Raw genomic sequence first — 24252 nt, forward strand, 5'->3', positions numbered from 1 at the left:
CCCTCCCTGCTTCCAGTTGCCCTGCTTTTCGCTTGGAGTTGTCCTGCCTTTCCAGACCAAACCAATGTTCATTTTATATATGTTGATTGATGTCTCATGTCTCACTGAAATGTTTAAAACCAAGCTACGCTCTGACCACCTTGGCCACATGCCTGCAGGACCTCTTGAGGCTGTGTCACAGGAACGTGTCCTAAACTTTGGCAAAATAAACTTTCTAAATTACCTTATACCTGTCTCAAATGTTCTGGGTTCACAATGTGATATGTACATTTGTATAAATAGGCATAGTTGTTCCTGCAGTTTGATGTAATTCTAATCAGAAAGCAAAAAGGCTAGTTACCTGATGGTGAAGGAAACATTTGTATTTAGTGCAACCAAACTGAGGATGAAGCCTGAGTCCTCCCTCCTCACCAGAGTCTGACAGCAGCAGAAGAGGAGGAAAGCTGTGTCTCCATGTCCACGAGGGCCTCCTGAGGCTGATCCTGCTCAGAGAGGGTTGGGACGGTGGGTGAATCTGCTGGCACTGCCACGCCAAAATCCCAAAGCCTGGATGGCTTAAGCAATAGAAATTTATATTCACATTTCTGGTGGCTGGAAGTCTAAGATCAAGGTCCAACCAGGTACACATTCTGTTAAGAACTTTCTTCCTGGTTCATAGACAGCCATGGAGAAAAAGGGATGGGGGTTGGGAAGAGAGAGGGAGAGACAGGGAGGAAAGGAAGAGGAGAGCTCTGGTTGCTATTCGGATAAGAGCACTAATTCTATTGCAAGGGATCTCATGCTTAGGACCTCCTTTAACCCCATCTACCTCGATCATCTCTCGCAGCTACACTGGGGGTCAGGGCCCAGCTTCCAGTCTCAGCGCACAGAGCACAGAGCAGATTTTCCCCACCATTTAGCACCCTGGCAGCTCCTCCCAGGTGCTCCAGGTCACACATGAGACCCTGTTCCAGCCAAAGGGCTCCCTGTTGACAGTGAGACACCATCATCCTTACATTCCCAGTATTTCTTAGTTCATGGCATTCTCTTTTTATACTGTGGAATTTGTTTGCCATCTAGGGGCAGGTGTTTGACATAGCAATACACACGATTTTTTATTTTGTAATAGGGAAAACTAATTCATTAATTTTGCATAAATAATAAATTAAACTGAATAAATTACATGTTGAAAAAGCCAAAGGCCAATTGAAGAGCTTAAAAAGAGCCTGAAGAGACGAAAAAGCCAGATTCCTTTCAGAGGAGGTGTGTTAGTCACAGATGAAAGTCTTTCATTTGCAGATGACTTTTTAGCAACAATTACCAACAGTAAATGACAACTTCTATAGGCTGCCACAATATGATTATATATTCAAAAATTATTTCCAAATATTGTGTAAATATATTTTCAAATTAAAACGAACAAAAATGCAAGTTTATCAGGAGATTCACACAGTAAAAAATTGCACAAATGAGTCCTTGAGGCAAAAGAACATTTATCCCTGGTGGAAAGCTGGAATTTTCTTAGGTCTTTAGAAGAAAAGAGAGGCTCTCTAGGGGTAACAGCTTTCTCTCCTCTCCGCTCCACCCCATGCTGCTGAGGAATGGGAATGGGGGCAGAGACTGTGAGGAAGGAGGTAGGCTGTGCTCTGAGCTTTTGAGGCTTCTTTGTAATAAATTTGATTATCCTCTGGTTCTTCTTGAATCCCCTTTCTGTCTTTGATATCATTTTTTTAGCATTTTGATTTGAGAGTATAGCCCTTGGGATATCAAAATCATGTAGGCTGTATGTTTGTTTCCTTGTTAAATACATCTAAACATCTTGAGTGAGTTTAGACCTTATCCCCTTTCTGTCTTTGATATCATTTTTTTAGCATTTTGATTTGAGAGTATAGCCCTTGGGATATCAAAATCATGTAGGCTGTATGTTTGTTTCCTTGTTAAATACATCTAAACATCTTGAGTGAGTTTAGACCTTATCCCTGTCTCACATCAAAGCAGAATCTACAGCGACTAGGTGCTGTCAATCACGTGAGTACTAAAGACGATGATGGCATTTCTCAGCTCCTGCTCTTGCTACTTACGCTTTGTTTCTCTGAAATAGCATTCTGTAAAATCATTTACACTCCACGATGTATTTATTAGGATTTTTAAATAGCATATTTAAAAGTGTCTAATGTTTTTTAATTTGAGGGCTCCAGTCTGCTTGATTTCTACATAAATTTTGCCCTATATCTATGAAACCTAATAGAAATGGCACTTTGGAATTTTAGTTGCAGTGGCCATTGAATCCATTATCACAGAATGGAAAATAATCTCCAATATACTTCAAATCCTAAGGCTGAAGCAGAAGCTTCTTGTTCTGTTCCTTCAATCATTCTTTTGTCTCTATCACACCATGTTCTGTCATGTAACTGACATGACTCATCATTAAGTTTGATGGAAATTTAAAATACCATTTTAAGTGAAATCAACTGAAACCTTACTTTTTTTTGCTTTTATACCTAAAATAGAGGATTTAGATATATTTTCTAGGAACGATGATGTAATATGTAAACAAGGAATTTTGGTATTGTTTGAAATATTTTCTCATGGGGACACACCACTAAATTTGTCACCTCTAAAACAGTACTTAGGTTAAATGCTTTTTAAATTCTTAAAACTGGGGTAAGAAGAAAAAATATTATGTAATTCTGCATTATTCATGTGACATATTTAGTGAGTCTATGTTGTCCATCTGTGAGTTCATTCTGTTTATTTTCAAAGCTCACTTTTGTAACTGGAAGAACTTTCACTGGGATGAAGGTAATTGAGGAGAATTGAAGTATTTTGGCATTGAGATCTTTTATTTGCCATGTGTTTACCAAGTCTATGAATAGTCAAACCTAAACATTTTTAATAATTATTTTTTGCCACACTCCCCTGAGGACAGCTTGTGTAGAATACCTTCTCCAGCATGACACTGGAGAGGGCAGTTTAGTGTACGAGTGCTAAAAAAGATACAAGGTTGGGAGAATGAAATGAAAAAAATGATTTCTCAATAGGACCAAGTATCATCTTGTATAAAATAAACCCCAAGCTGGTCATTTCCAACACGTATTCCACTTGTGTTGTCACTAATCTGCATCCACGGTCTGGTTGTTTTGACAAGTAAATGTCCTTGAAAAATGTAGGCAAGATAGGGAGGGATGAGCTTTCATTCACTCTCCCTTCATCATAGCTGGTTGTTCCCAGGGCTCATGGCCCCCAAGAATTCTCCTCCTGATGATGTCTTCCCCAGGCCATGGCAGCTGATGGGACCTTAACATATGTGACTGAGGCACAGCTGAGGCTCTCATGAGCCAGAGTCTTCAGCAGCAAACCCTTTCCCTGAGTTCCCCAACAGCCTCCTCTTCCGCAGACTCAGAGACCCTGCAGAGCTGCTCCCAGACAGCAGCTCATGTGGGCAGTTGGGACACCCCAGCAAGGAGGTTTGTGTTCAAGGCGTTACCACTGTGCAAGGATATTATGTAGCTTGCATGTATTAATAAAGTCGAATATCCTCAGCCTCCACCCTGCTAATTTTGAGTTTAAAATATGTGCCTGACCCACTGCTATTGAACCTGTCTGGGACTCCAGAGGCCCCATTGGAAACCCCATAGATCAGGAGCTGTGGAGACTCGCCTGGCTTCTATAGTTACCAATACAAATAGGTGTTTCCATTGCTATGCAGGAGGGTCTGACTAGACCTGCAGGAGATGAAGTACAAAGTTATGTACAAATATTATGAGCAAGTATCACGATTTCCCTTATGATATGGATTTATCATTTATCTTTTAAAAGATTTTTTATTCACATCATAAAAAATACGTTTTTAAAAATGAGCTTAGGCCGGTTGTGGTGGCTCACGCCTGTAATCCCAGCACTTCTTGGTCCGCGGCAGGCGGATCACCCGAGGTCGGGAGTTCAGCCTGACCAACATGGAAAAACCCCATCTCTACTAAAAATACATAAAATCACCTGGGGGTTGGGGGCTTATGCCTGTAATCCCAGCTACTTGGGAGGCTGAGGCAGGAGAATCACTTGAATCCGGGAGGCGGAGGTTTTGGTGAGCCGAGATCGCACCATTGCGCTCCATCCTGGGCAACAAGAGCGAAACTGGGCAACAAAATAAATAAATAAATAAATAAATAAATAAATAAATAAATAAGCTTAGTATTTACTAGGTACAAGCGACCCTTTATTAAAAGATATTATTCAAGGCACTGGTCATTGTTCTTTCAGGTGGTTTCTAATGATTACACATAGGCTCAAAGTAAAGGGAGAAAGAAAGATCTATCAAACAAATGGAAAGCAAAAAAGAGCAGGGGTTGCTATTCTTATTTCAGATACAACAGACTTAAAACTAACAATGATCATGGCTGGGCGCGGTGGCTCACACCTGTAATCCCAGGACTTTGGGAGGCCAAAGCGGGTAGATCACGAGGTCAGGAAATCGAGACCATTCTGGCTAACACGATGAAACCTTGTCTCTATTAAAAATACAAAAAAAATAGCCGAGCGTGGTGGCAGGCGCCTGTAGTCCCAGCTACTTGGGAGGCTGAGGCAGGAGAATAGCGTGAACCCAGGGGGCGGAGCTTGCAGTGAGCCGAGATCGCGCCACTGCACTGCAACCTGGGAGACAGAGAGAGACTCTGTCTCAAAAAACAAAACAAAACAAAACAAAACAAAACTAACGATAATCAGAAAGGACAGAGAAGAGCATTACATAATAATGAAGAGTTAAATTTAACAAGAAGACTTCACTATCCTAAATATATTATATAAGCACACAGCAGTGGAGCACCCTGATTTGTGAAGTAAGTTCTTAGAGACTTACAAAAACACCTAGATAACCACACAATCATAGAGTGAGACTTCAACCCACACTGACAGTATTCGACAGATGATTTAGGCAGAATAGTAACAAACATATTCAGAACCTAAACATGACACTTGACAAAATGGAACAAACTGACATCTACAGAGCAACCACTAAAAATTACAGAATATACATTCTTCCCATCTACACGTGGCAAAAACTCTAAAATTGACTACACTCTCAGCCATACTGCAAGTGTCAACAAATACAAAAAATAAAAATGATAAAATGAAATGGAATCATACCAACCACACTCTCAGGCTGAAGTGCAAAAAAAGTAAAAATCAACACCAAAAAGATCTTTCAAAAACCATAAAATTAAGTAGAAATTTAACAATCTGCTGCTTACAGACTTTTGGGTAAACAATGAAATTAAGATAAGAATTAAGAAATTCTTTGAAACTAATGAAAAAAAAGAGACAACATACCACAATCTCTGGGACACAGCAAAAGCAGTGTTCTGAGGAAAGTTTATAGCGCTAAATGTGCACATCAAAAAGTTAGAAAAATCCTGAATTAACAACCTAACGTCATACCTAGAGAAATCTGAAAAACAAATGTGAACCAACCCCAAAGGTAGAAGAATAATCAAAATCAAACCTGACCTGAATGAAATAGAGAGGAGAAAAACCAAACAAAAGGTCAGTGAAATCAAAAGTTAGGTCTTTGAAAGAAGAAATAAGATTGATAGACTGCAAGCTAGACTAATAAAGAAAAAAGCAATATCCAAAGAAAAACAACCAGAAGTGACAAACAGGATATTATCACTCAACCCTCAGCAATAAAACAAACAAACAAACGAAAAACCCTTGGAACCTATAACCAACACCTCTATGCACAAAAACTAGAAAACCTAGAAAAAAGTGCATAAATTGCTGGAAACAATCTACCAAGAATCTCGCAGGAAGAAGCTGAATGCCTAAACAGACCAATAATGAGTTCTGAAATTGAATCAGTAGTAAAAAGCCCACCTATCAGAAAAAGTCCTGGAAAAAATGGATTTACAACCAAATACTACCAGACATATAAAAAAAGCTAGTACCAATCCTAGTGAAATTATTCCAAAAAAATCAAGGTGGGAGATCTCCTCTCTAACTCATTCTATGAAACCAGCATCTCCCTGATAGTAAAAACTGACAGAGGCACAATAAATAAAAACTTCAGATCGCTATCTCTCATGAACATAAACACAAACTTTCTGAAAAAAATACTAGCAAACATTATTGTGTAGCACATCAAAAGCTAATCCACCATAATTAAGCTGGCTTTAGTCACGGGATGCATGGTTGGTTCAAAATGTAAAAATCAATACATGAGATTCACCTCATAAACAGAACTAAATACAAAAACTACAGGATCATCTCATTAGATGCAGAAAAGCCTTTTGATAGAATTCAATGCCCCTTCATGCTAAACACCCTCAAAATCTAGACAATGAAACTACACAACTTAAAATATTAACAGCCATTTATGGCAAAATTACAGCCAGCATCCCACAGAATCGACAAATGCTGGAGGCATTTTCGTTGAGAACCAGAACAAGACAAGGATACCCACTCTCACCACTCCTATTCAACATAGTACTGGAATTTCTAGCCAGAGCAATCAGGCAAGAGAGAAAAATAAAAGGCATCCAAATAGGAAGAGAATAAGTCAAACTATCTCTCTTTGAAGGCGATACTATAATATATTCAGAAAACCCCACACTCTCTGCCCAAAAGCTTCTAGATCTCATAAATAATTTCAGCAATATTTCAGGAAACAAAATCAATTTACGCAAATCAGTAGCATTTCTATATACCAATACCATTCACACCAAGAGCCAGTCCCAGAGCCCAATCCCCTTCACAGTAAGCATAAAAAGGATAAAATACCTAGAAATACAGCTTACCAAGGAGGTGAAAGATCTCTACAACATGAACGACAAAATACTGCTGAAAGAAATCAGAAATGACACAAACAAACGGAAAAACATTCCACCTGCGTGGATAGAATCAATACTTTTGAGCTGGTCATACTGCCTAATGCTATTTATAGATTCAATGCTATTCCTGTGAAACTACCAATAACATTTTTCACAGAATTAGAAAAAAAATTCTAAAATTTACTTGGAACTAAACTAGAGCTAAAAAAAAAAAAAAATCCTAAGCAAAAAGAGCAAAGCTGGAGGTATCACACTACACGACTTCAAGATATACTACAAGGCTACAGTAACTAAATCAGAAGAGTACTGCTACAAAAACAGGAACCCTAGACCAATGGAACAGGCTAGAGGATTCAGAAGTAAAACCGCACACCTACAACCATCTGATCTTCGACAAAGCTGACTAAAACAAGCAATGAAGAAAGGACCCCCTTATTCAATAAATGCTGCTGGGATAACTGGCACCTATATGCACTGAAATGGAAACCTTTCACTATATAGAAAAACCAACTCAAGATGGATTAAAGGCTTAAATATAAAATCTAAACTCTAAAAACTCTAATAAAAATCTAGGAAATGCCATTCTTGACATTTGCTCAGGCAAAGAATTCATGACATAGACTCCAAAAGCAATTGCAATAAAAACAAAAATTGATAAGTGCTATCTAATTAAACTACACAACTTCATTACAGCAAGAGACACTAACAACAGAGTAAACAGACAGCCTACAAAATGGGAGAACATATTCACAAGCTATGTATCTGACAAAGATCTAAGATCCAGAATCTACAAAAAATTTTAAAAAAATCAACAACAAGAAACAACTCCATTATAAAATGGGCAAAGGCCATGAAACAGACACGTATCAGGGAGCAGTGAAATGAGTGCTGGGAGCTGCCTGAGGTCACTCCTCTGCTTTTTCCATCTGGTTTTAAGTCACCTAATCCATCAAAATAAATACAATTTTGCCTCACCAGGCACAATGGCTTCTCTCATAGTCAACTGATTCAATGATAGAACAAGTAGAAGGAATGAATGGATTGTTTCCTGTGCTTCTCAACTCTTTGGTGTTCTCATCTCCTAAGCTCACCGTGTGTTTCATCTCCCCTCTGCTGCACTAACATCCAAGTGCATGTGATGCTTCAGCTGCGTTACGCAAAGCTTCATTCTGAAGTCTGTTGAAGTTAAGAGAAACTTTTACCAGAGGAAACGTCAGTAAATAAAAACAATCCTGAAATTCTTCTAGCTTCCACATTTTCTCTACTTCCTCTCTAAAATAGGTAGAAGGAAACCTAAAAGAAGTTAATCAAAAGAAAACATACAAGCAGCCAACAAACATAAAAAAATGGTCATCATCACTAATCATCATGGAAATGCAAATCAAACCACAATGAGATACTATCTCATGCCAGTCAGGATGGCTATTACTATAAAGGCAAAAAATGACAGATGCTGGTGAGGTTGCAGAGAAAAGGGAATGCTCATACACTGCTGGTGGGAATGTAAATTAGTTCAGCAGTTGTGGAAAGCAGTATAACGACTTCTCAAAGAACTTAAAACAGAAGTACCATTCGACCCAGCAATCACATTATTACATCTATACCCAAAGGAATATAAATCGTTCTACTATACAGACATGTGCACACATACGTTCATGGCAGCACTGTTCACAATAGAAAAGACATGAAATCAACCTAAATGACTATCAAAGGTAGGCTGGATTAAGAACATGTGGTGCATATACACCATGAAATACTACACAGCAATTAAAAATGAAATAATGGTCCTTTAGAGCTACGTGAATGCAGCTGGAGGCCATTATCCTAAGCAAATTCACACAGGATCAAGAAACTTGATCAGACAGCACCGTCCTGTGGGCACAGCCTCCTGCCTCACCATCTTCCTGTCACAATAGGAGGACTTTTCTTTTTCTTTCTTTCTGTTTTTTGAGAAGGAGTCTTGCTCTGTGACCCAGGCTGGAATGTAGTGGTATGATCTTGGCTCACTGCAACCTCTGCCTCCCTGGTTCAAGTGATTCTCCTGGCTCAGCCTCCGGAGTAGCTGGGATTACTGGCGTGTGCTAGCATGCTTTTCTAATTTTTGTATTTTTAGTAGAGACGGGGTTTCACCATATTGGCCAGGCTGGTCTCGAACTCCTGACCTCAGGCAATCTGCCTGCCTTGGCCTCCCAAAGTGATGGGATTACAGGCGTGAGCCACCGCGCCTGGCCTTGGAATTTTCTTGATCATGGAGACAAGGATGAGTGATATCTTGATCAGGGAGGAGTGAAATCAGTGCTGGGAGCTGCCTGCACTCACTCCTCTGCTTTTTCCATCTGGTTTTAAGTCACCTAATGCATCAAAATAAACACAATTTTGCCTCACCAGGCACAGTGGCTTCTCTCATAGTCACCTGATTCAATGATAGAACAAGTAGAAGGAATGAATGGACTGTTTCTTGTGCTTCTCAACTCAAGCTGACCAAGAGGCTGCCTTTGCTGTTCTCATCTCCTAAGCTCACTGTGTGTTTCATCTCCCCTCTGCTGCACTAGCATCCAAGTGCATGTGATGCTTCAGCTGCGTGTTACTCAAAGCTTCATTCTGAAGTCTGTTGAAGTTAAGAGAAACTTTTACCAGAGGAAATGTCAGTAAATAAAAACAATCTTGAAATTCTTCTAGCTTCCACATTTTCTCTACTTCCTCTCTAAAATATGTAGAAGGAAACCTATTTCTCCTTGATTATCAGGTTGTATGTCCCCAGCCCACACCATAGGACCCTTTGTTCAAAGTTTGTCCTGAACCATAATAAGAACTAAATGGCCACATGTTCATCATTTTTTTCAATTTAATGCAACAATTATCATGCTAATTCTTTGAATTAAGAACTATCAACTGGAAAACCAGACAAGAGTGAATAGAAACAACATTTCAATCTTCTCTGTACCCATAATAAATAGTCATCTCTCAGATTCTCCTATTCTGTTAATGGGGGTAACAACGTCATACACATCAGTGTTTCAGGGCCTCCAGCACATCTGGTAAGACAGTGATTTGACATTACAAGGGTTAGTGTTTTGGCTTTTCCTGACTACTAATGGATTTTCTCTTTTCTATAAGGACAGCTGCCCCTGGACACATGACAACATCGTGAATATACGTTGCTTCACTTTTTTTTTTTTTTTTTTTGCTATAGATACTTCCAAGTGATGATTCTGGCAGAAACATGACTGACAAGAAAGGCAAATCCGTATACAGGAAAACTACCACTGTCCTCTGGATGCTGGGTTAGGTGCACTGTACTCATTTGACACGCGTTGTTAGTCTGATCACTGATGTGTGGTTAGATGTTAGTGGTTTGGGAGGGGTAATGCTACTTGGCAAGTTGAATGCTCAGAAGAGCCATAGGTATGCAAGCCTCATTAACTGAAATTCATATTGTTGAGCTCCTGCATGGATTTCTATGGTTCATGTCACTTCCTAAAAAATCTGGGAAAGTTGACTGACTGAAGGCCAAGCATTCGATCCTCTTAATTACTAAGAGCTGGTCCTCAGTAATGGAATAGATATGAATATTCACTTAGGAAGCATTTATTTTTGATCTTGACGTATTTTCAAAGATCCAGTCATAGCTCTTCCAAACCAACTTTGTCTCGAGTCCTTCAGTTTTGTTTCTTCTGAGGCCTGGTGATCTCTCCAAACCAATAGCCAATGTTATGGAATTGCTAATCCCTCTTTGCAAAGTGTACGGTGACTTCACCCTTCGGGTTTGCCCACTCTTGTGACTGCTAGTCTCCCAGGGTATCCTTTACCATGGCAGTGGTATGACATCAATACAGCACCCAGTTATGAGAACTCCATCCAGCATGGCATCATTGGCAGCATATGCATGATTGGACTTCCATAGGATGAAATGATTAATTTTTAACAGTAGGCAGTTATCCCCATTCATACCCTTTACCCCTCCACTTGAGTTAGAAAAATATTTTAAGGTGTAAATACCCATTAGGTGAGTATTTTATAACTAAAGGTTATAAAGGAACTTTCTGTAGCCACAGCAGATACTACACCAGGTCTCGGGCACCAGTGTTCTTATGGGGGGAAACTGAAATCACCTTCACAGATTTCATTTTTATATAATTGTTTTGTAAATATGCATGTGTTACTTCTATATGGATATATAAATATACTTAAATAGACTTATTTAAAGATAAATATGTGTACATATACGTATATGCAGCCAATAATTTTTCAAAAATATAAATGCACCAATATGTATGTTATATACACTCAAATATGTATTTTCCCCAAATGACATCAATTTCATGGTTTTTATTGGTATTAAGTTTTAATGTTTTAAATGTTGTCTTAGTATCTCTATATATGGATTAATAAATATTCATATTTATGCCATCAATTTTAATAAAATGCATCTATCTAAATAGGTAGATGTATAAATACTGTATTGGTCAGTTTTTGCACAATAATTATTGACAATCAACCACTTAAACTCTTAGTGTCTTATTAACACTAAGTATTTATTTTCATATTCCTGAATGTTCATTTTAATAATCAGTTGGCTGATCCCAAGGCAGGGCTCAGCTGGTTGGTTCGGCTGCAGGGAATCGAGCTTGTCTCCAGCCTATGGATTGCATTTATCTGAGGCCAAGCCTGAAGGACACTGACTACTCAGGGCAGAAGATTCTCATGGCAGGTCGCAGGAGTAGACAAATCCCAAACCAAGCTGACCTGATACAATTAAGCCCGAGAATCTCTAACATAGGTACACACAACTTTAATTGATTCTTTCACTTGGTAATTATTAAAGTTTCTAAAAATGTTTACTCCATTTAAACATGAAGTTATTTGATAATTCTATGGACATATATAATTATGATTTTCAACCTTTGTAATCTTCAAAATGTTTTCAAATGCAATGTTGCATCAATTTGAAAGTAAAGCTGGGTGTGCTTTCAACATGTGACTCTCCATTGAAATTTTCTTAAATATCCTCATTGAGAAAAAAATAAATCTCTTTAGCTAAAATATCACCTAAAACATACCTTGTTAAGCTTTATGTAGATCACTTGTTACCGTGTTAAAATGAAGATTCTCTTTCAGGTAATTTGAGGTGGGCCTGCTATGTATCTTGCAAGGCACCCTCTCAGTATTGCTAAGGTGCTACTGGATTCTGGATAGTTTTGAGTAGCAGAGGACTTTCATATTAAGAGGAAAAATGCTACATCCATGTTTAGGATTTTCTCTTGTTTTCCTTTTTGTCAAGGAAAAAGGTTGTCAAACGATTGTTATAACTATCTATTTATCTTTTTGTTTTGTTTTGTTTTTTGTAGAGACAGAGTCTTCCTATGTTGCCCAGTCCAATCTCAAACTCCTAGGATGAAGCAATTCTCCTGCCTTAGCCTCTCAAAGTGCTGGGAATTACAGGCATGAGCTACCACACACAGCCTTATAATGTATTTCATACAGTTTCCTGATTTTTCTGTTTCATCTATGACTTAATGAAGTTTTCTTGCTATGAACCCAGAGTTGCTCGTAAGACGTGATAGCACATTCGAGTATATTCTGGGACAATCTGTAACTGGCAAAGTTTTGAGCCTTGTGGAAAGAGCAACCTTACTGACCTGTCAGCTGTCAATTCCCCATCGCTACTATCACTTCTGGACGCACATTTTCCAAAACTCCTTTTCTCTCTATGGTTTCTTTAGAGTTGCTTAATGAGAGGCACTCCCATGAGATTGGGAAGTCAGAGTGGTGGATTCATGTACTCTGACATCTGAAGTAAAACATGTGGAATTGTTTGTGGACTGGAGAATCACCTGGAGACGTGCTGCAGGCAGCTGAGAGCATCAGCACCCCAGCCCTCGGCTTCCCAGACAGGTCTGAGGATCATCACACGGTACTCAGCACATACCACCAGGGGCAGGTGCACTCTGACTTCTGCAGGAGCACCTGAGAATCCCCTGTCTCTAGTGGCTGCTTCACGAATAACATACCGTAGGCTTCAAAAAGACTAGTTTAGACTCTAATTTATTCAACTTGAACAATTTCTCCTTGAAATACCGAGAATAGCTTCTCTTTTGCTGTGTAAATTCCAATTATCCCATAACACAGACTCCTCAGGTGGACTTGTATCTCTTCCTTATTCAATCAGGACAGGCATTGTCACATCTTTTCTCCTGGGGATAGGGGCAAAAGAGGCTTAGAGTTCAGAGGAGCCTCCCTGGTCCCCTCTACAAAAGTCTCCCAATGACTTTCAAAACCTGACTGAGTTTGAGAAATGCTCTCAGCAGATGGAGGCACCAGGAGGAGCATCTGGGGTGGCTCGTCCTCACACATCTGCTTCCTTGGAGGTTTATGTTATGACTTGTAACACTGTGGGAGGGGTACTGTAACTCTGTTGACAGTAGTAAGTTGCAAAATCTTCAGGTTGCAGACTGCTGATGGTGAGAGTGAAATCTGTCCCAGATCCACTGCCACTGAACCTTGATGGGACCCCACTTTGCAAACTGGATGCAGCATAGATCAGGAGCTTAGGGGCTTTCCCTGGTTTCTGCTGATACCAATTTAAATAGCTGCTAATGCTCTGACTTGCCCGGCAAGTGATGGTGACTCTGTCTCCTACAGATGCAGACAGGGAGGATGGAGACTGGGTCATCTGGATGTCACATCTGGCACCTGAGATTGGAAACATAAAAACAAATATTCTTACTATTAATCATGTTATCAGAGAACTTCCCTGAAGTTCCAGTCAGTACTGAGCACACTGGCTGAGTAAATTCCTAGTGTTCTCCATCCTTACCTCGGAGCCAGAGTAGCAGGAGCCCCAGGAGCTGAGCGGGGACCCTCATGTCCATGCTGTGTCCTGACTGAGACTGACTCCTGCACAGGGTGCGACCAGCCCATAAAAAAGTCTTCAGGGCAGGGGGCTGTGCTCTGGAACATGCAAATCAATCAGCAGGGCATGGGGCAGGCTGAGCACAGCTGCAGGGCTGGCTCATCTTAGTAACTCAGCACAGGGGCAATGTCCCCAGGGTCCCAGGTCAGACCAGCGCAGCATAGATTTGCCTGGAGGGAATGTATTTCTCTCTAGAGCCGCTGTTGTGACAAGAGATATTTTGAAGGAAAAAAGTCAAACTTTAATACAAACCTAAGGACTATATGGAATAATATATTTTAGAGTTGTATTGGGAGTATACAGGAGAGTATAACCATTCGTAGGGAATGTCTAATGAAGTCTTAGAGGGTGGGTCTATCAGGCCTTCAAGTTACTTAAAGGGATGTGGAGAGTAACAATCCCTTTTGCTATAGTAACAACACCTCTGTGATTGTCACATGGTTCCCATTGTTTCATGTGAGAAAAACAGTCTTTATCAGAAGCATATTTAATACACTCCAAAGTATTTGTAGTGACCTTAAACATTTGTAATTACCAGTATATTTACAAGCAATTCCCTGCAGATGCACGATAATGATGCTGTGATTCCTCAGCGCCTGTGCCACTCATAGATCTTCCATTATCCAGAGCTATAGGTCTCTGTAATACCCAGGGTCTCAATGGGCAGCAGCTTCGTCTTGGTTTGGGGCTCCCCTTATTCTGCCCATTTTTCTGCCCTTGGGTATTATTTCCCATAGGTCATCAGTATGAAGGGTTGATTAGTAATGCTAGATCTGTTTACTTCAAAAAACATCTCTGTTTCTTCCTCCAGCTGTTGAAGCCTGAATCAGGATAAACTTGAAACTCTGGGTCAATCTAGAACCCCACATCAATTGTCTCCAAAGGAAGAAGGCCAAGGTAATGCAACTTGCCTAATGCTCTGATCTGCTTTTCCCACCATAATGTTTGTGAGTGTTCAGGTGTGGCTCTCAAAAATCATGGCTTTCTGGAAAGCAATGGGAGGGAGAGGCCCTGGGGAAAGGCCAGGTCAGTGAACACTTTCTCTTCTGTGAGGGTGGCGACCACTCAGTGCATTTCCCTGCCCTGCACCATCAAAGCCACTTTTCTCTTTAGCAGTGAGTAGGGACATCATCCTGACTCAGACGCCTGCCTCCTTGCCTCACATCCAGGAAAGAGAGTCTCCATCTCCTGTCAAGCCACCGCTCATGTACACGGAGAAATGCTTTGAAGCTGGATAAAACTTGGAAACAGATTTGAACCCCTATACCTCACATGTCTGCCTCTGCCCAGGCATCCCAGCCTGGTTGTGCAGCAAGGGAAGTGGAATCAACTACATCGACATGAGAAGACTAGAACCTGGGGAGTCCAGGGAGCATTACTCATGCATCACTAAGGGTGGGCAGACTGCTGTGGTATAGCCTGTACACAACCCCCTGCTCCTTTCCAGGGGCCTGAATTTCAAGGGCAGTTACTGGTAAACTGCTTGCTAAGATTTAGGTTCAGAGAGAAGCAGTTCTGGATTGCAATACACAATTTCGTGTGTGTGTGTGTGTGTGTGGGGGGGGTGAATATAGTTGTCACTCTTGCTACCCTTTCCCTTTTCCCTTTGCTGTACTTCTGCTGACCCCCCATGGCCATATCTTTTCCTCACTGCTCTATCTGAAGCTGGAGAAGGCAGCCCTGCCTGTACACATGGCCTATCACAGCACCTGGAATGAGCATCCTCTCGGAAAGCCCTCAATCAGTGAGGACAGGGAGGTGTATACATACCCCATCTCCCTCCCTTCTTAGGTGGAAAAATACTGAGACATTTTCCCATGTTTCCACGTGGGCTTGATCTCCATTCATCCTCTGTGGTAGCTTCTCGCTGAGGACATTTTCGGTATCGCTGCTCTCTTTCCTCTCTCACTGCCTTGTTTCCTCCTAGTGTTTACTGTGCATTATAAATATGCTGCCTGCATGGGCATCATTGTCCCTGAAAGATCCAACCTAAAACAGTGGACAAACCCTCATTCTTGGAAAGTATAGTCTGAATACTTGCCAATTCTTTTTTTTTCATGCATAGGGATATTCAGAAAATTTAGGAAACAGCTGAATTATCTAGGAAAGACAGCGTCATCAGAAGGGTCTTTATAATAGGGAGGAGTGGGGGTAACAGTCAGAGAGGAATAGGGACAATGGACAGGGATGCTTCAGTGATGGAGAAAGGGGCCAGGCAGCCCGGAACATGGGGCTATCTTTGAAGATGAAAAGCTGAGAATCAGATTCTCTCCCCTGGAACTTCCAGAAGGAATATAGAACTACGGATACCTTGATTATAAATCAGTGAGACTTCTCACTGCCAGAACTGTATGATAATAAATTTGTGTTGTATGAAACTAGTAAGATTCTGATAACTTGTTACAGCAGGAGTAGGAAACTAACACAAGGGGCAGGGGTGTCTTTTACCTCCTTAAGGGCATGGTTGCCCTCTGTTCTTCCAAATATTTTTATCTTGTCATTTTTTAGTGTCAATTTTAGCAAGACACACAGAAAATTTCACTGTGAAGATGGCTAGCACCAGAATCCTTGTTATGTGTAAACACTCTTGCATAAATCCCTTGATTAACTCTCGTACTCTCTGGATATGTGATTAACTCTTGTATCCTCTGGATATGAGAAAAGTAGGGGAATATTTGTTCATTTGTTTTCATATTGGGGGAGAAATCAGATTTACAGGACATCATTTGAGAAGGAAGGACTGGGACAGAAAGATGAGAATGGTAGAAAAGATGCAAAGTGTTCAGGGCAATGCAAGATGTGCTCTTGCCCTCGAATCTGAAAGAAAGACATTTAGTATTTGTAAAGACTTTGAGGAAGTTTTGCTTTGTAGACAAAACTGCATGAGGGCCTGAGTTTATAATTGGAGTAATCACGGTAAGGTGTAGAGGTAGCAGGGAGCTTGTGTTGAGAATTTCACACCACTCTTCTGGCTTTGTCTCTTCTTTGAATTTAAAGGCCATTCAATCGTATATGAAACAAACGTGGCCATGTGGAAGCAACATATTTAAGGTTATGCAGACCTGGGTTCCAAGCTCAGCCCTGACAATTGCTGACCACATATCTTTGGGCAAACCATCTCTGTTGAATAGTTTCAACTACGGGCTCTGATAACAGTTTACTCATCTGAAATGTATCACCAAGGGTATTAAGGGCTGTCCTGAGGGTTTCTCTAGTTGATGAAAAGACTGCTTTTCATACATATATATGTGCATATATATGTATGAAAAGACTACTTAGGGTCCCTTTTATGCGTCCTTGAGTATCTTAGAATGAAGATTCTAGATAAGATACTACTAGTCACATGTCATTTTTTTGTATTATTACACTTTAAGTTCTGGGGTACATGTGCACAACTTGCAGGTTACATAGGTGTACATGTGCCATATGGGTTTGCTGTACCCATCAACTCGTCATTTACATAAGGCATTTGTGGTCAATTTTAGAATAAGTGCGATGTGCTGCTGAGAAGAATGTATATTTTGTTGATTTGGGATGGAGAGTTCTGTAGATGTCTATTAGGTCCACTTGGTTCAGAGCTGAGTTCAAAAAGTCCTGGTTTGGTGGGTTTTTTGTTTGTTTGTTTGTTTGTTTGTTTTGGAGGCAGAGTCTTGCTCTCTTGCCCAGGCCTGAGTGCAGTGGTGTGGTCTCGGCTCACTGCAACCTCCACCTCCCGAGTTTAAGGGATTCTCCTGTCTCAGCCTCCCGAGTAGCTTGGACTACAGGCACGTGCCACCATGTCTGGCTAATTTTTTGTATTTTTCAGAATTTCTGAAAAATTTTGTATTTTTCAGATTTTTCATTGTGTTAGCCAGGATGATCTCCATCTCCTGACCTTGTGATCCACCCGCCTTGGCCTCCCAAAGTGCTGGGATTATAGGCGTGAGCCACCAAGCCCAGCCTCAGATGTCATTTTCAACTAAGAACTGTCAATATTTATTCTGTAACTAACAGATGCCCCTGTATATACTGGGTGGCTTCCTGTACAATGTTTCCATCATAAAAATCTTCTTCTAACCAATTATGTGTAACATTAGAGAAATGAAGGTGGAGAGTGCAAATCATCATACTACCTTTAGGCTGGACTTATCCTAAGCCCCATTTTTATTAGAATTCTTGGGCTGCTATAACAAATTACTAAAACTTTGGTGGCTTAAAGCAACAGAAATATATTCTCCTCCTATAGTTCTGGAGGCCATAAGTCCAGCACTAGTTTCAGGGGTCAAGAGCAGGCTGTCATCAAAGCTTCTGCAGGGACTCCAGCGGGGAGTCTACTTTTTGGCTTCTTCCAGCTTTTGGTGGCTTCAACTTTCTTTGGCTTGAGTCCACATCACTTCAATCTCTGCCACTGTCTTCAAATTGCCTTCTCTTCTGCAGACTTTGTTAAAATGTCTGTCTATGTCTATCTTATAAGGACAATCGTGATGTCCTTATAAGAGAGATAGACAGACATTTAATAAAGACAGGCCCATTTAGGGCCCACCTGGTCAATACAGGATAATCTGCCCAATTCATAATCCTTAATTTATATATGCAAAGGCCCTTTTCCTATATAAGGTATATGTATCGGCTGCATGGAATAGAACCTGAGCATTTGAGCATCATACTCAACAATAAACCATTAAAGAACATACTATCAGTGTTGGTACTATACACACATCACAGGCTCTTCTCTCTCTCTCCTCCTTTCTCTCTCTTCCTTGTGACTATAAATTTCCTCACTTCCCTAAGTGTATCCAGTGCCACCTATGTCCAGGTTAGAGCAGCACACATAGGAAGGCCTTGCTGAGGTTTTGCTTAGAGACCTGCTCTATCCCTCATTATCATTCAGAAAGAAGGACACAGCCAAAGACAGCCCTCAGCCATCTGGGGAGCAGCTGTCTTTACAGAGGACAGTCACAGGCTATCATTCTCTGGACCTCTGTTTATCTTCAGATGTCTGTGGCCCTCAGCCCTCAGTGAGGGTCTGTGTGGCAACTGATTCGAGTAGGATCCAACAGGACCCTTATCAGAACATCTGGTTCACAGAAGGCAGTGAGTATAAGGTAGGAGATCATCAGGGCTTGTATTCTGAGCACTGATCACAACACTGGTCATGACAACGCTGACCAGAACAGGATCTGGACAAAACAGGATGCACTACAGAAACTGGCCCAAACCAGCTAGAACAAAGATGGTGACAAAAACGACCTCTAGAGCACAGTGTGAGTGGATCTTCCCCTGGGGGCTCCCATCAGACAGAGTGGCAGCCATGGCTCAGTGCTGGGTGGTCATAGTATGAAACCCCCCCACGGTCTTTTCATAGCCCCCCTCTGACTGCAGTGATGTGGGATTTCTCTGTCCAACTTTCATGGCTCCAGCAGCTTCCGGGACTCTGTTCACAGTGGGAGGTCATGAAGGTAGTTAGGCTACTGATGGCCAGAGTGACGTCTGTCCAGACTCACCCCCTTGACCCAGGCAGGCATCGTGTCCAGGGAGCAGTGGGAGCCAGCAGGAGCTCAGTGTCAGCCCTTATTTCACAAGGAGCTAGGCTAGACACTGTTATTTCCCTGACTGGCTCTGCTGGTGACAGTGACCCTGTCTCCTGGAACACAGGGAGGGGCCTGGAGATGAGCACCACACAATATCCCAACTGTCATATAAGGGGGGAACAAATATGAACATCCCCAAATATTAATTGTAAGTACATACTTCATTCAGTTTGATTAAATTCTGAGAAAGCAAAATGGGCTAAAAACTTCATCTTGAAGGAAACATTCATGTTTAATGCACAGAAACTGATGATGAAGCTTGAGTCCTCCCTCTTCACCAGAGAGTTGGAAAAACAGGAGGAAGAGGAGCAAAGCTGGGACCCCATGTCCACGAGGGCCTCCTGAAGCTGATCTGCTCACAGAGGGTGGGGAAGATGGATGAGTCAGCTTCCGCTGCCACACCGTAACACGGGGCTGGATGGCTAAACCACAGAATTTAATTTTCACATTTCTGGTGCCTGGAATATCCCAGATCGACGTTCAGCAGAGTTTGTTTTCTGCTAAAGACCTTATTCCTGGTTTGTAGGTGCCACCTTCTCACCATGTCTTCACACAGCCTTTCCATGGAGGGGAAGGCGGTTAGAGAGAGAGAAGAAAAAGGAGAGGTCTCTGGATCCTACAAAATCATGAATCCTACTGGATCAGGGACACCCCCTGCCATGACCTCAATTACATCTTTAGAGGTTCTGATTTCTACAGTCACATTGAAAATTAGGGTTTCAACATGAATCTGAGGGCACAATTCAGTCCATAGCAGGTGGGACACAGCCAAGGCCGTGCTTCCAGTCTCAGGGCATGGGGCAGGTTCCCACAGCTCAGCACACGGGTGGCTCCTCCCAGGTGCCCAGGTCACAGGGAAGATTTGACTCTAACTCTAGGGCTCCCTGTTGATAATGGGACACCAGCACTCCTACTTCCCCAGTGTTCCTGAGACCATGGTGCTGTCCTTTGTTCATTGTGGAGCATGTGTGCCATCTTCAGGCAGGTCTTTGACATAGCAACTTATAGGACATTTGATTCTGTGATTGTGAAAATTAATTAATAGATTAATTAGTCATAAATAACAAATTAAACAATACATTGAATCAGAAACAAAGGAGGGCCAAATGAGGAGCTTAAAAGGAGTCTGAGTGTCTTAAAAAGACGTATTCCTTTCAAACAAGAACAGTTAGAGTCACAGATTTTTTTAACAATAACTTTTTAGTAGCAATTATGAAATAGTAAATGATAACTTCAAATAGGCTACTACAAATATAAGTTTACAGTCAAAAAATATTTTCAAGAATCATGTAAACACATTTTCAGATTAAAACAAACAAACAACGAATGTGGGTTTATCTGCAGATCCACTCACTGGAAAACTTCTCAAATGTGTGATTGAGTCAAAAGTACATTTGTCACTGATGGAAAGCTCCAGGTTTGTTTTTTTTTTTTCTGTTTTTGTTTTTAGTCTTTAGAAGAAAACAGCTTTCTCTCCACTCTGTCCCACCTCATGCTGCTGAGGATGGCTGGGCAGGCAATGACTGTGAGGAAGGAGGAAGGCTGTGTTCTCAGGGTGTTCGTGCCTCCTGCCCACCGGAGTGACCTCACGGAGCAGAGCCACCTACACCACCAAGGCCACCTGCCTGCCTCTGCACTGCCATGGCAACAGACAAAGAAACCTTGTTACATTTAGTTCACCATATTATGAGGCTTCTTTGTAATTAAATTTGATCATGCTCTGATTCTCCTTGTATCTCTCCCCTTTCAGTTTTGGGGATCATATACTTTTCACTATTTTGACTTGAGAATATATGCCTTTGGGATATCAGCATCATGTAGGTGGTATCTTTGTTTGCTTTCTCCAAAATATAACTAACTACCTTGAATGGGTTTTCATTTTATCTCCTGTCTCGCAGAAAAGCAGAAACTCAAGGTGACTAGGTGCTGTCAATCCCAGGAGGGCTAAAGGTGACGATGGCATTGCTTACCTCGTGCTCTTGCTACTTACATTTTATTTTCTTTTACTGCATTATGTAATAAAATATAGGGTCAATGATGCATTAATTAGTATTTTTCAATAACATATTGAGTGTCTCATATTTCTTAGTTTGAGAGCTCCGGTCTAATAAATATCTATGTACATTTTGCCACGCAACTTTTAAACCTAACAGAAATGACACATTGGAATTTTAATTGCACTTCCTATGGAATCTGTTATCTTGAAATAAATCATCTCAAGTATTATTTAAACCCTTAGCCTGTATCAGGATCTTGTTCTGTTGATTCAGTCTTTTGTGTCTCTACACCGTGTTATCACATGTGACAGACATCACTCATTACTCGGGTTCGTGTAAATTTATTTGGCAGAATGATCAGATCATGGATGCAGATTAGTGGTAACACAAGTGAAATACATGTTAGAAATGACTGGTTTGGAGATAGTTTTTTGCATGATAACACTTGGTCATATTGCAAAATTGCTGTCTTCCCACTTTCCAAACTTTCTCCTTTACCACTCACACGAAACTGCCCTCTCTAGCATTATGGTAGAGAAAGCACTGTTGCTTTTTTAACGAAAGCATTTCTGTTAGGTTTAAAAGTTGCATGACAAAATGTAGATAGATATTTATCAGACTGTAGCCCTCAAATTAAGGAAGCATATAAATTTAGAGCACTATTGTCAATGGAATATATTAAGAGCATAATTTTTCTATGCATTAACAACTAAAATAGAGGATTCAGATTTATTTTCAGGAATAGTATCATATAAAAATAATGCATTTATTCATTCTTTGAATCATTTTCTTATGACAACATAGCACTAAAAATTTTCTCTTTAAAATGCTATGTCAGTAAAATATTTTTAAAATTCTAAGAATTTGAGAAGGAAATAAAAATCTCATATAATTCTGCATTGTTCCTGTGGTACATTATGTAAACTTTATGTTCTCCATCTGAATTATTTTGTCTATTTTCAAAGCCCACTTTTGGAATTGGAAGAACTCTATTTTCAGTCAGCAAAAGGCAACTGAGGCAAATCAAACTATTTTGGTATTAGGATTTATATCTGTCCTGGATTTTAAAAATCCATAAGTAGTAAAAATAATTATCCTTGGCCATACTCCCATGAAAATAGCTGGTGCAGAATGCTTTTTCCACCATAATACTAGAGAGGGCAGTTTCATGTGAGTAATAAAGGAGAGAGAAAGTTTGGAAAGTGCGAAGACTTGGCTCCACCCAGGAAGCCATGCAGCAGTGCTTTCAACTCTGTGGTTCTTCACAAGTAACACATTTGGCCCCTTTTTGGATCCACATCATCAACTGCCATCACCACCACCAGCCACATCCCCACCCACCATAATCAAGGGCAGTGTAATTGAACAATAGCTGATCTCTCTTATGTTCTCTTCATGCTCCCATTCCTGCAGTCTGCCCAATCTCAAATTCTGAACTTTGGAAAATAAAACTGTTTACCTCATCCTGTATTTTCTCAGTGATCCCTGGAAAATACTACATCTTTAGTATACTGCATCTTCCAGTGTATGCATTTTATTTTTAAAACCAACTTTCAAAATTTCAAGAACTCCCTTTTTCTATCAGCAAGAGGTAATTGTAATCAAAGAGTTTTAGTATTAGGAACTTGCGTCTGCTATGAAATTACAAAATCTATTTGACACTCACAACCAAGATCTTACTGATTGTCCTCAGCCAGCTCCGCCAGAGGAGAATTAGTGAATAATCCTGTCTCTACTGTCTCATGGAGTGGAGAAGAATGGCAAACAGGAGAAGTAGGAATTTAAAAAGTGGGAAAATACCAATTTTACATATAACCAAATATTTTCTTTGAAAGGTACCCAAAACTGTTAAACCCTAAAATGTACTCAACATGTTTTGCCAGAAATAATCAGTAGTCTGGCCCTTTTGCTCAATAAATTTAAACAAATGTAGGCAAGGAAGGAGGATTCAGATGAGATTCCATTCTCCTTTCCCTATCATCCCAGTTTTTTACTCACAGGGCCCTAGAACCTCCTCATTTTCCTGTTGGTTATGAGAGTCAAGGCTGTGGCAGGTGACAGGAACATAAACAGGGGTGCTGACCTGCCACAGTGGCTCACACTGTACTGCCAGCACGTTGGGAGGCCAAGTCAGGTGGGTGGCTTGAGCCCATGATTTTGACAACAGGCTGGGCAACATGGTGAAGCACCGACTCTACAAAAAAATAGAAAAATTAGCCATGTTTAGTGGCATGCACCTGTAGTCCCAGGCAGAGTCCTCAGAAGCAAACCCTGCCCTGTATTCTCCAACAGCCTCCTCTTTTGCAGACTCAGAGACGCTGCTGACCTGCTCCCCAGACAAGCAGTGCATGTGAGCAGCTGGGGCACCACAGCAGGGAGGTTTCTGTTCAGGGCTGTACCACTGTGGAAGGAAACTCTATACGTTGCATGCAGTAATAAACTCCAACATCCTCAGCCTCCACCCTGCTGATTTTCAGTGTGAAATCAGTGCCTGACCCACTGCCACTGAACCTGTCTGGGACTCCAGAGGCCCGATAGGAAAGCGTATAGATCAGGAGCTGTGGAGACTGCCCTGGCTTCTGCAGGTACCAGTCCAAATAGGTGTTTCCATCATCACTATCCAAGAGGCTCTGACTAGACCTGCAGGAGATGGAGGCCGGCTCTCCAGGGGTGACGGGCAGGGAGAGTGGAGTCTGGGTCATCACAATATCCTCACTGGATCCTGAAATAATAACAGAGAAGTGCAAGTTTATATAGATACATTATGAGCAACTTTCATAATTTCTCTTGTGATATAAATTTACAGTTACATTTTTAAAGTTTTGATTTATATCATGAAAAGTAGACTTTCTAAAATAGACCCATTATTTATTAGCCACAAGGGAACTCTTTTTTTTCAAGTTCTTAATCAGAGCACTGGTCATCGTTCCCTGGAGGTGAATCCTGATTATTCATAAGACAAACCTGAATTC

General features: G+C 40.9%; 1 pseudogene, 2 gene segments (V, D, J or C) and 1 further gene, besides 3 other annotated features; 1 reads left to right on the top strand and 3 right to left on the bottom strand.

Annotated features, from left to right (window-relative positions):
- The window catches only part of IGK (immunoglobulin kappa locus), a 1378008-nt gene that overhangs the window by 449067 nt on the left and 904689 nt on the right, over positions 1-24252 (top strand).
- IGKV2-38 (immunoglobulin kappa variable 2-38 (pseudogene)) lies at positions 3476-3715 on the bottom strand (annotated as a pseudogene). The gene is given in 1 exon segment: positions 3476-3715. A coding segment is annotated over 1 exon segment (240 nt).
- Positions 13198-13672, bottom strand: IGKV1-39 (immunoglobulin kappa variable 1-39). The segment is given in 2 exon segments: positions 13198-13493; positions 13618-13672. Coding segments are annotated over 2 exon segments (351 nt in total), but the record flags the coding sequence as incomplete, so codon positions are not given.
- Positions 13485-13495: a sequence feature (IGKV1-39 leader sequence).
- Positions 13616-13672: a sequence feature (IGKV1-39 leader sequence).
- Positions 23689-24002, bottom strand: IGKV2-40 (immunoglobulin kappa variable 2-40). The segment is given in 1 exon segment: positions 23689-24002. A coding segment is annotated over 1 exon segment (314 nt), but the record flags the coding sequence as incomplete, so codon positions are not given.
- Positions 23993-24003: a sequence feature (IGKV2-40 leader sequence).

The sequence above is a fragment of the Homo sapiens genome, chromosome 2, assembly GCF_000001405.40.
Source record: "Homo sapiens chromosome 2, GRCh38.p14 Primary Assembly".
In the NCBI taxonomy this organism is placed as follows: Eukaryota; Metazoa; Chordata; class Mammalia; order Primates; family Hominidae; genus Homo; species Homo sapiens.